Here is a 13,517-nt window from a genome sequence, read left to right on the forward strand (position 1 = left end):
AAACAAAACTAATAGTACAAAACTCTTCCAGACATTTGCAGATTCATTCCCAATTTAGTTTATCAAGCCAGTATTACCTTGATACCAAACCAATTCACATATCAATATTCCTAATGTAATCAATTCAACATTGTAAATATAACTTTAGCAAATTCAATTCAGCAAGGCATTAAAAGAAAATATCATGTCCAAGTGGAATCTATCCTAGGTATGCAAGGTTTGTGAAGTATTTTAAATTTAATCAATGTATTTGACTTCAATAACAAACCAAAGAACAAAAATTATGTAATCATCTCAATAGAGGCAGCAAAGTTATTTGGAAAAATCAAACATCAAACCTGATAAAAATTCTGAACAAACTAAGAAAAGAGGAGAACTCCTTACAAATTGGTTGAAGACATCTCTTAAAAAACAGAAACAAAAAAAAAAAAACCCTACAGCTAATATCATGTTTAGTAATGAAAGCATTGATGTTTTCCCCTAAGACCACAAAAAAGACAAGGATGTCTGCTCTCAGCAGCTCTATTCAACATGGTATTGGAGGGTCTAATCAGTTCAATAAAATAAGGAAAAGAAAAAAAAAGACATTCAAATTAGCAAGAAAAAATTTTAATTGTCTTAATTCTCAGATAACATAATTGCCTCTATAGAAAAATGAGTGAACTATACAAAAAAACTACTACACTAATATATGAGTTTGAAAATCAGTTGTATTCCTACATACTGGCAATGTGAATTCAAACCTTGAAATTTTAATATCACTTAGAAAATATAAAAAATATGAAAAAATTTTAAAGTAAATCTGACAAAAGTTGTACAAGACCTGTGTACTAAAAAATTGAAAGAATATTGGTGAGATAAATTAGAGATTTTGATTAATGAAGAGGTTTATCACGTTCTTGGGACAGAAGGCACATTATGAAGGTATCAAATATCTCCAAATTGACCTATTGATAAAATGCAATTACAGTAAAAAAAAATGCAGCATATATTATGGTAGAAATTGAAAAGTTCATTCTAAATTTTACATAAATATGCTATATTAGTCCATTTTCATACTGCTGTAATGAACTGTCCAAAATTGGGTGACTTCTAAAAGAAAGAGGTTTAATTGACTCACAGTTTAGCATGACTGGGGAGGCTGTAGGAAGCTTACAATCATGGTGAAAGGTGAAAGGGAGGAAAGGCATCTTCTTCACAAGGTGGCAGGAAGGAGAAGAACTGTGCAAAGGGGGAAGAGCCCTTATAAAACCATCAGATCTCATGAGCACTCACTCACTATTATGAGAACAGCATGGGGGAAATTACCCCCATGATTCAATTACTTTATCCTGGTCTTCGGCTTAACACATGGGCATTATGGGAATTAGGGGATTACAATTCAAGATGAGATTTGGGTGGGGCCACAAAGCCTAACCATATCATAGGCAAATAACTTAAAATTACCAAAATATTTTTTAAAGATAGAGATCTTTCATTACCTGAATTTAAGAACTAGTAAGCCTTCAGTAAGGAATACATTACAATATTGGCATAAAAACAAATAGGTAAATGAAACAGGGTTATTTAGTGTCAGAAATAAATCCACACACATATATAAGATAACTGATTTTCAACAAAGATGAAAAGGCAGTTTGGTGGTGAATGGATAAAAACGAATGGTGTTGTGGAATTATTGGAAATTCATATTCAATAAAACAAAAATAAAAATAACAAAACAAATTTTGACTCATATCTTGAACCATATTCAAATATTAACCCCCAAATTGATCATATACCTAAATAAAAACCTTAAAGCATTAAATAGCTCTAGGAAAACATAATAGAAAATCATTTGTGATCATGGATATGTTAGTCATTTCTCACATTGCTAATAAACATATACCTGAGACTGGGTAATTTATAAAAAAAAATTGACTCAGTTTTGCATGGGTTGGGGGGCCTCAGGAAACTTACAATCATGGTGGAAAGGAAAGCAAACACATCCTTCTTCACATGGCAACAGGAGAGAGACGTGAGTGCCCAGCAAAGGGGGAATGCCCCTATAAAACCATCAGATCTTGTAAGAACTTACTATCATGAGAATAGGATAGGGGAAACCACCCCATGATTCAATTATCTCCCCCTAGTCCCTGCCACATCACATGGGGATTATGAGAACTATAATACAATTCAGGATGAGATTTGGGTGGGGACACAGCTAAACCATATCAATGGGTTAAGCAAGGAATTATTATATTAAACATCACAAATGCAATCTTTAAAAAACAAATTGATAAAATAGACTTTGTAAAAATAAAAAGAGTAGTCCACAAAAGACATTGTTAAGAGAATGAAAAGCCCAGCTACTGACTAGAAGAAAATATTTTAAAATCATATCATAAAGGACTTGAATCTAGAATATATGAAAATCTCCTAAAACTAATAATGAGTAAAAAAACATAGAAATGGACAAAGGATGGAAGCAGACATACCACTAAAGATGGTACACACTGACATCAAGTAAGTATATAAAAAATAATTTTAACCTGGGTGATAAAATAATATGTACAACAATCCCTCGTAACACGTGTTTACCTATAAAACAAAGCACATCTACCCCAAACCTAAAATAAAGGTTAAGAAAAAAAGAAAAATAATTTTAAAAGACCACTATTTATGTATAAGCATATTAAACTACAATGAGATATTTTATAAATCTATTAGAATAACTTAAACAGGCTGACCATAAAAAGTTTTCTTTGAGATATACAGGAATTAGAGTTGTTGGTGGGAATATATAGTGCTACAACTAGTCTGGAAAGCAGTTTTACCATTTCAGGAAACCCGTATATAAACATATATGTTTACCACATGGCCCAAGCAATTTACATCTAGCTGTTCCCCAAAGAGAAATAATAGTCTCTGTCCATAAAAAGAATTTTAAACAATTGTTCATACTTAGTACATATGTAATAGCCAAAAACTCAAAATAACCCAGATAACCTTTAACAGTTGACTGGATAAATTATTACATATAGTTGCAATGAAATACTACTCAGAAATGAAAAATAATGAGCTTTTGATAACTTAAACTTATAGATAAATCTTAAAATAATTACACTGAGTGAAAAAGCCCACTTAATAAAAGAGAATGTGGCATAAGATTGCATTTATATAAAACTCTAAGAAATACAAACTAGTCTATAACATCAGAAAGCAGATTGGTACTTGTATTGGGACAGGTGAAAGGGAGCAGGAAGGATTAGGAAGAAGGTAATATTTAGGAGCAGAAAGAATATTTTGTGTGTGATAGGTATTTTCATTTATTTGACTGTGGTAGTGAATTCACAGGCATATACAAATGTCAAAACATATACACTTTAAATATATGCAGTTTTAAAAATAATTATATATCAATTCAGCTGACAAAAAATCCTAAGTTGATTGATCACTTCCACATTGCAATTACCCAGTTTCTAAATATGTCACACTATTAATTTTACTTATCATTTGCCGTTCTTATACATTTTTAGCATGTCCATTAGTAATGTGTTTTTTAAAAATATTGATTCTTATTAGGTTACTAAGGGAAACAATGAAAGCAATTCAGACTGCAAGGCTTTCCAATGCTCCTCATTAATTTTAAGCCTGTTTTCACTGATGTCTAATGGCTGAAATGCATATACTTGCAGCAAATGTCCAGCAGGGAATGAGAATCCATACCAAGACATCATGTAAGACCTATTCTGGTATGGGTATACAAGATGACTGTGTCCACTTTAATAGTTTTAAATATAATTTTTTTATTTTTACTCATATATCTAGTTACAAATGTATTACATTATTGATCGTTAAAATAAATTGTTACTTGAATGAATTAATTCTAAATTTTATGTATAGAGGGCCCTCTTTTGACAGGATAAGATAATAATCTTGGATAATATTTTTGATCTTTACATTCCCTCAAAGGAAAATCCCTGTCCACATAAATAAATGATAGTCCTTTTCTTCTGTGAGAGTAAGAAAAGTGTAATTTTCATCAAGTTCCCTGTTGGTTCACCATGGATTGCATTGCGTTGGTCAATTTCTCTGTGGAAATGACATTTTCTCACAAGTGGAACCAGCAATTATCCATTAGTCCATACAGAAGAATGTGTAACATATCTCTTGGAATTGCTTAGCAAGGACCTGTATCTCTGTATAAGGCTGGTGGTGATAGGTGACAGGTATTATGAGGAGGGGTAATTGGCAGAATGTGTATAGTCCTGATATATATCAAATATGGTGGCTCTTTAATAATTTTATTTTATCCTAAACAACACTCTCCATTTTATTTTCATTATTTTTCTGTACACAAAAAAATCTCCTGCTTATTCATGGCTGGTTAAGGTCCCAGGGAACACTGTTTCTATCTTGTTCTTCATCATCTCTGCATCCAAACCTAGAACGTAGTGTCATGTTTGAAATAAACATGGTGCTTATAAATATTGAATTTTTAAAATGGTATTCTGCTATATTGATGGTGAAAAGCAGTTTCTAAAAGGCAATTTGTCCATATGTATCAATAATTCAAAGCAGTAGCACTTTTTATTTGCCAACTTATCTCTTGGAACAATATCCTCCCAGAAAAAAATCAGAATAGTGCAAAGATGTATGTATAAGTACATTCAATACAGCAATGTTAATAATAGAATAAACAAACAAAAGTCATTAAAATATAAATGACATATTATGTAGGAGAATGGGTTAGTAAATTATAGCAACTTTGTAACATGGAAGAATATGCTGCTATTGAAAATATATTTGTGTGTTTTGTTAAAAAAAAATAATAATAATAATAATGTTTTTCCCATCTATCTTGTTCTGGGCTTACCATTTGTCCCAAAAACTCTTCTCTGCTTGCTTGGGCACTATTTAAATCTCCTTGGCACCTAAGTGGGAGGATTGGGTGTACATTCTTTATTTTATGAGTCAGCCTTTCTTTTCCCAAGGGAAGTGAAGAAAAGGGCTGGGGACTTGCTTTAGCAGCCAGCTGTTTGGAAACTTTCTCTCATTACATATTCTCTCTGAATCTATTTAAAATATTGTATCAGAATCCCGTGTTGTTAAAGAGTTATGCTAACCTTAGATTGCTGTTTATAGCCAAGCTTTAGGTAATCCATGCAATTACACTTGGAGGTCCAATTACATGGTTGTTAAGTTGTCTTGCTTAAGAACTTTTCCGTTCTTAGTCTCCAACTGGAGTCAAGATAAAGAAACTACAACTGGATTACTACATTACTTCAACTCCAATCTGGTCACCATGACGGAGCTAAGTGGGGCAATATCAGTTCTTTCTAGAATATATATTGATCTCTAACTCTTGTCCCTAGGTTGGGTTATTAGTATGGTCTTTAATGATTAACTCCTCTAACTGAAACCATTGCTGAAGAGTTCCATACATCAAATAAATTTTATGCCAACTCCCTATGACTTCTTCTTATTTTTTCTATTTGGTCTGTGGTGTATTATATTTAGCTGATATTTCAAAAAGTTTGTTTTACAAGTTATGAATCTTACTCTAGTGCCAATAGACCTAAATATTTTTCTATTTTTAAAAAATTATTTTGGAAGAGAGAATCTGTTTGGTCTATTTCAAGTTAAGCATCCTTCCAAGTCCAAGCAACCATGACTTCCATATGTTAAAGTCTTCTAATACATCCATGTCTGGAGGGGCACTGTTTGGGTAAACAATTGCTCTTAAGGAAAACAAGCTAAACAAAAAACAAAAAGCAAAAACCCCTTAGTTATTGGGAATTGGATCAACATTCTAAAATGTTTTTACTAAAATCAATAAACATCACTTAAGACGGTTTAAACATATTCTCTAATTTATTATCAAACCAACTGCAAACTCAGAGGCATTTATCTCAGTGAAAATCGTATCCCTTAATTACATATATAGACATTCAAAACAAAAGTTGTACCAGATAAATTTAAACAAGAAAGGAAGATGTTAATTGAGGTTATTGCAATAGAAGAGAGAGGCCAGAACTCAGTCTGAACTCAACTTCATAGAACAAAGCTTAGTTGGTTTATAAATTGCTAGAGTAAACTGATGAAAAAGTATGTTACAGAGGTCATTATGTCACCTGGAGGCTGATTAATGGAATGTGTACAACATGTCCTGTTAATTCAGAGCTTGCAAACATTGTCCACGGTGATTAGGTCATCTATGTTTACTAATTAGAATACATCAAAGTTAGACTTCTAGTCTCTTACAGAGACAAGGAGATAGGAGTTCTCTCTTGATAATTCATTTCAAAAAGATGGTTCTTAGCTCCTTAAGACATTACATACATCTCAAAAAGGATCAGGAAAGAATTTACAGTGACAAGCTTTCCAAATTAAATGCTCTAAGCAAAGGGAGTCAGGTCCTAGGGTCAGGAAGAAGCCTGTCTAATGTCTAGTCAAGCTAAGGAAACATAGAGACAATTTCTGTGACATTCTAGGTAAATAAAAATAATTTTCTTATGCTGATTCATTTTCTTTCAGCCTGTGCTGATTTTTTTGTCACCATTTTTTAATTCATTTATTTTTTAAGGATGGGGTCTCACTTTATCACCTAGAATGAACTTCAGTGGCCTGATTTGTTTGGTAGTATGGGATCTCCTTTTCTGCCTCTTCCTGACTTTCATACTTATGAGGGAAAACAAAATTTTGCCAGGTAGACAGGTCTCAATTTTGTAAATAACTTGGATACAGCTGTCTTGTATAGGTCACTTCATTTGTGTGATATGTGTTGTGTCTAGCATGCTATCAAATTGGCATACAAATAAAGGAGTGCTCATAAATTAAGCAAATAAGACTAGTTTAAACTTGTTAGTTGGAAGGGAATGTGGTGTCTTCTAAAATTTTACTTTAATTTTTACCTAGGTAAAACACTGATGTTTGTGAGCTTCAGAATAATTAAAATGGCTTTAAATGGAGAGCTTTCATGTGGTTTAAAATCTTGAAACTGTAGAATCATTCTCATCTATAAAATGCCAATATCTGATAGGCAGTTCAGAATTTCTTGTCTCTGAAGTTTATATAAAATGTGCCAAAAATATGTATTCTTTGTTGGGAATAAGAAAAGTTTTTATCTAATTCTGAAGTTATTAAAGGGGAGATTCAAAATATAAAGGAACAAGTTAGTAGGAAAGAGAGATGTAAAGGAAGTTATGGATAGAAGATGTATTTTTTCAAGAAAAAATATAAAAAAAGAATAATTGTATTTATAAAAAGGATGTTGTATTACAAATTACAAATTTTTGTCCTACTGTAAAATTACTAGTAATTTTAAAAATCAGTTAACAACCTGTAAATAGAGAAAAAAATAAAAATAGAAATAAATATATTATAGGACAAGTCAGAAAGTCCAAGCATGTCATAGATGGTATAAGTCATGATAACGCTGGGGAAGGGAATTTATGAAAGAAATGTTGTGTGTGATTAAGCTAGCTCTAATTAAAAGAAAATTGTTTATAATAGACTTTCTAAAGAATGCTCTACATGCTAAAATAAAATTCGCTTATGGGACTGATTTCCTAAATTGTAAGAAATTTTGCTTTTAATATTATAATTGGTATATTTTAAAGCTTGTCTTATTTGTATCTCAGAAGTTCAACTGTTGCTCTATGTCACTGCTTTCAGCTCTTTTGAGGAGGCCTGAGTTGATAACTCTTTCCTTGACCTTTTGTGTCAGCTCCTCTAACTCTTTTCTCTCCAGTTTTAAACGTTGCTATAACCTGATGCTAAAATATTTTATCATAGAGGTCTATAAAAGCAATATCTTCTTTCAGTATCAGTATAACTTGATTTTATACTCTTAATATTTCTTGCTGTATACCTCATTTTTGGCTTTTAGTTTTTGGCTCTTATATTGCCTAAAACAGTTTTAAGGGCTAATAAGTGCCTACCTATCTCCATTCCCATCTAGTCTAGAATGTTTAATGGAAGTCCCTTGGCCAAAGTGAATCCCAAAAATCTCTGAAAATCTAAGGCCATGACAGGAAAGAGTGGATTGACATTCTTCACTATGCCCCACCTGAAATTTAGGCCAGGTTCAAAATGTGTTTCAAAATTACAAAATAAAATATTGCCCTTTTGCACAAAGGAAAAGAATAGCTCCTCTATTCAACCAGAAGACTTAGTCTTATTAAATATTAAAAAGAAGGATCCCCTAAGGATCAACTATAAATAAAATAGAAAGGCCCCTATCAGGTATTTTAAGTACCTTCACTGCTGTTAAACTTCAGGGAATCACAGGCTGGGTACACCTGTCCAGAGTTAAACCTGTTTCTTATGAGTCCCCACAGGTGTTAAGAGCAGGACACAACACACACTTGTAAATGCTAGGAAACTTAAAGCTGTTGCTTTGCAAACACACAAATAAACAACATGGCAAGGATGAGTGTGTGCAGTAATAAACTGCACCTATTATATTATTCTCACTTGATTTTTATCTTTCCTAAGATCTTCGATAGCTATTATTACTAATTTTTTTTCCTTGTTTGTTTAACCTCATAGTAAAGTTTGTGTCTTCTAGACTACAATAATTTATATGAAGACTATTCTGGCATAAGGCTTCCAACTCATCCCATCTTCTAACCTGGAGAATAAAAATATCCTGCATTTCAGCCTCTTAGATCAGGTATCCACAGATTTTTGCTCCCCAATGCTAGGCAGAGCCTACACCCATAATATCAGCAGGAAGTAGTTACAGAGCAGACCTCTGACCTTCTGGAGCCCCTTTAAGATTAAAGAGGAGTATGTCATCTCTGAGGAGGGCATGAGGTAGAAGACTGGCAGGACTTATTTCTCGATCCTGACAGGATGAAGTAAAGAAACTGCCAGGAGCCATTAGATGGTGATGAAAGCAATCCCTAACCGCCCTCATTGCTCATTAGCATGATACTCCTATCAGTTCCATGATAGTTTACAAATGCTGTGGTAACAACCTGGAAGCTACCAGCCCCTTCAGTGCCCTTGAAGTTACTGCCCCATAACTAGAAAGTTCTAAAGAACCCACCTCTTCATTTTGCATTACCCCCTCCTTAATTTGTATCTAATTTAACATGGGTACAAAGGAATATAAATACAACAGCTATCAGATGTAGATAGCATTGCCTGTGAGGTAGCCCTGCTCTGTAAGGAACAGCTGTGGTTCAATAAACTATTACTGCTTAACACTATCGTCTCACACATGAATTCTTTCCTGGGGGAAGCAAATAACTCTCCTAGGCTAAGCCCCAGTTTGGGGGCTTTCCTTCTCCAAGTCACAGGTATTGCTCTAGTTATTGGAAATACCCATGTACCAACCTTTCTGGAATTTATAGTTTTTAAGTAACTAACAGTAGAAAAGCAGGTTCAAATGGACATTAATTAAACCTAAAAGAACTAAAAATTGAGAGAAGCAGGTACCCAGAAGATGCAGGCCACTAAATGTTCAATACTAACTTCACCTACTTGAAAACTTTAGAGCTGGTGCTGACTGGTACACACTTTCTAGTTTTACACTATGAGTTATTTCCTTCTAAGGCATTACTTTCTCTGTCTGGAAATTGAAGGTTTGGGAAACTTTTGCATATAAAACTTTTAGAATATGTAAGTGCAAGTAAAATGATGGATCTCACTACAATGGTAAAGACTAGACTACAGAGACACATTGTGAAAAGAAGACACATTTTCTTTTAAAATGGAAACGTATTCTCCTATAATTTATTCTTTGTGATTTTACATTGGAAGGCCAATTTATAGCTCCTAATGTCTATTTGAAGATCTGCTCACTAGAGGAAAAAGGCGATTAAAGACACCAGGACTTAGTTCACTCATTTTCCACTTGTTCTTATTTATGGAAAGTTGTGCTTTTTAGTCCAGATTTTCAGCGGCTCCTCCAAAATCTTTTGGTTGTGCAGGTAAGCATCTTTCAGAAAAATATATCTTCCCTTGAGATGCTTGCAAATATCACATCTGTTGTAGAAAACACAGAAGATAGAGCTGTGTGCTCTAATTAGAGAGGAAAATTACTTGAAATGTACCAGTGGATTACTAACAATGACTGATGCAAATGGTTAGAGGAAAATAGCTCTTTTTGATTTGAAATAATGCTTTCTACACAACTGGTGTGCCCATAATAGGTAAATCAAATTATGTCTTTTCTCCTCCATGACTGTAAATTAACAGTGAGTAAATGGGAAGATGTTAGAATTGTACTTTTCCATAAGCCAAAGTATAAATGTTAATCTGAATCTCCTGAATTTGCACAATTTGCCTAGAAATACTGTTAAAACATACTTTCTCAAGAGAATTGTCTTTGTTTGCAGCCTCCAAAAAAATGTAAATACAACAGCTACAGCTTTTCCTTGCGGCATTTTGGAATTGTCCTCACCTGGCAGGTAGTGAGATATGCAAAGGCCTGCAAATCTTAAAAACAAAACAAAAACAAAAACAACACAAAAACCCTGCTCTTTTAAAATAAAGTTCAATAAACTTTAGTTTCAATTCCTGCAAAGGTCACATGAGGATTAGTTTAAATTTCAGGTCAAGAGGCAGCTTGCTTCCTATTTGATCTGCAGCAATTGAAGCATACCTAATGGAAGCACTATTTTAAACACAAAGGTTAAACACTGTTGAATTTTGACAAAGGTTAAATGCCTATTTGCCAAAGTTAATGACTTAATAGCATTTTGAATACCATTCTTTGTATAAAGGTTAAACTCATATTTTCAATGCAGTGTTTCCTCTCTTAAAAGGAAATACTCATTAGAACCCAAACAATTACCTAATTGTTAATTTGTTTTGATCTTATTTATAGTTCTTCAACCAGAGTATTATCTGTTTTGATTGCAAGATAATTTTTAAGCTTTCAAGAAGAAAAATGTTTAAAAAGAGAAATATGGTTATCAGAGAATTACTCCTTCCAAAAGGTCAAAAAGAAGAGGGCTAAAGATTTTAGAAAAATATTTTGGGCAAAGTTGTAATCTGTGGTGGGCTCACATACTTTCCAAGGATGTACATGAGACCAATAAATAATTTCTTGGACTCGATAAAAAAATCATTATCAAATGATCATACTAAGAAAATGTGAAAAAATATTACACAAGGGGACAGCATGTGATCAATTCAGCATTACTTTCAATGCCATTTTAGCTAACATGATTGTAATAATTTACATAATATAGTGCATTAATTAGAAAAAATGCTAAAGTACATCATTCATCTATTATTCCCCAAGATTTCTAAATGACTAGACCATCTCATCTCACTTACTGCTTAGAAATTGAACTAAGAATTGAGGCATTGAAAATTCATGCTGAATTTTAAAGATGTATACGGGGAAAATACATTTGGTGGTTCTATATATTGCTTTTCAGGTAAGATATCATACTTGACAAAATATTTTAAATTCAATTACAAATACTATTACAAGTGACACAATTGTGTCAGGGTACATATATGCTATATATATTTATTTCAAGGTTATGCTGTAAATTACAGAAAGTGATGGAGGGCAATATCAGGAAAACCATTGTGAGAATTTCTCTCCTTTTTAAGGAGAGAACTCAGTCAGGCAGAGGAATGCCATCTGATCTGTCAAAAGGTGAAGATCAATGAGGAGTGAAAGCCAAATTTCAGTTATATTTAAGGTAAACAAATGGGATAAGGCAAATGGAAGCATACAGGCAAGAGTGGAGGGTGTTCTAAGCTTAAGAATATTTCAAAGATAATTTGAGGTTAAGTCTAGGACTTCCTAAGAATGGATAAAATCAAGTGATACAGCGCTCCGATACATCCAAACACCACTTGGTATTTTACCCATTTTGTTTATATTCTGAAAAAAAGTTTTGTTTTATTTCTCTATGCTAATTTTTTCTCTCTTATTTTAGTATATTAACATTTATTTTTATTTTCTGACTTCAGTTTGGTGTTTCTTCAGAAATGTCATTATAGTTTTAATTATATAAACTTTTTGTCACCTGCCAATTACACCTGTATTGATGTTGGCCACTAAAACTTACTTGGTGACAGTAACCTAAGACAAAATAGAACATGTAAAAAAGCAAGGGCTTACTGGGAATTGTTTGCAAAATTATTCTTGGTGCACACCTGAAAAATATCATAATAATACTCTTATCATTTTACTTTAAGAAAATGCAAAGTTATCTTGATAAACCATTCCATAATGCTTCTGAATGGACTGAAAAGATAATGAAACTTGTTGAACCAAGCCTGTTGTGGTCAATTTTCTTGCTGTGACTAATGGGTTTACTATCTAAAAATCTAATTATTAAAGAATTAAGGCAAGAGATATATAAAATTTTCTTCAGTTTAAACGGATTGTACAACATTAAAGAAAAGATGAAGAAATTATTTGGTTCAAATGGGGTTTTTAAAAATTAATTGTTAGTCTTGCAATGCTTAACATAGTTAAGACAATAAGCAGATTTATGAAGACATTGAATTTCATATGCTAAAGAAATGCTTTACTTTTTTCAATGAATTTTTTTCATGACACCAAATGGGAAAGAGCTCCTTTTTTGTGGCAACTTTTCCATTTGATGTCATGAAATCAATACCAGAAATGGACAGTGAGTATCAAGCACTGCAAGCTTTATTCAATGGCCAACAATTTGGATAAGTGAGAGTGTAGCTCATAAATTAACTTCTTAGCTCTTGCACTTGGGGAAATTACAGATATAGGGTATTCTTAGTACAGGGTATGGGCATTAGGAGGAAGAGGAGGAAAACTCATGCTTTTTCTTGAGAGGGGGTGAACATTTTTTTTGGAATCAAAGAGCTGCCTCTTTTTTTTTTGTTGTTCCCTTCAGGTCATTGATGTGGTGATTGTAAACTGTCATGGTGCCTCTGGGAGTGTCATTTAGTATGAAAATTGGATTATAATGAAGCTAGATTCTTCAGCAGTCCAGTAAGCTGTATAAGAAGGAACCTCTGACCACCATAGACATCCTGTTTCCTAAAAATAAGCAGAGTTAAAGCCGAGTAGGAAGTGTATGTTACATGGGCATTGCATTGGGCACAAAACAGGATGAGTGTCCAGCTGTTATGTAGGCACTGCAATAGGTAACACTTTTTAAAAAGTAGTTTTTAGGTTCACAGAAAAATCAAGCAGAAAGTACAGAGATTCCCTGTATATCCCACATATAGACAGCCTCCCCCATTATCAACATCCCCCACCACAGTATACATTTGTTACAATCGATGAACCTACACTGATACATCATCATCACTCACGGTCTATAGTTTACATTAGAATTCACTCTCAGTGTCATAAATTCTCTATTTTGGATATTTATAATGGCATGTATCCACCAGTGTATCATACAGAGTAGTTTCACAGCCCCAAAATTATTCTGCTCCCTGCCGATTCATCTCAATTTCACCCCTAACCCGCGGCAACCACTGAATTTTTACCGTTTTGATAGTTTTACCTTTCTAGAATGCCACACAACTAGAATCATATAGTGTGTAGCATTTTCAGACTAATTTATTTC

At 33.1% G+C, this 13,517-nt stretch overlaps 1 long non-coding RNA gene across 1 annotated transcript in view; it reads right to left on the reverse strand.

Annotated features, from left to right (window-relative positions):
• The window catches only part of LOC101928622 (uncharacterized), a 143,555-nt gene that overhangs the window by 10,850 nt on the left and 119,188 nt on the right, over positions 1–13,517 (reverse strand). The window lies entirely within an intron of this gene.

This window comes from Homo sapiens, chromosome 4, assembly GCF_000001405.40.
Source record: "Homo sapiens chromosome 4, GRCh38.p14 Primary Assembly".
NCBI lineage: Eukaryota > Metazoa > Chordata > Mammalia > Primates > Hominidae > Homo > Homo sapiens.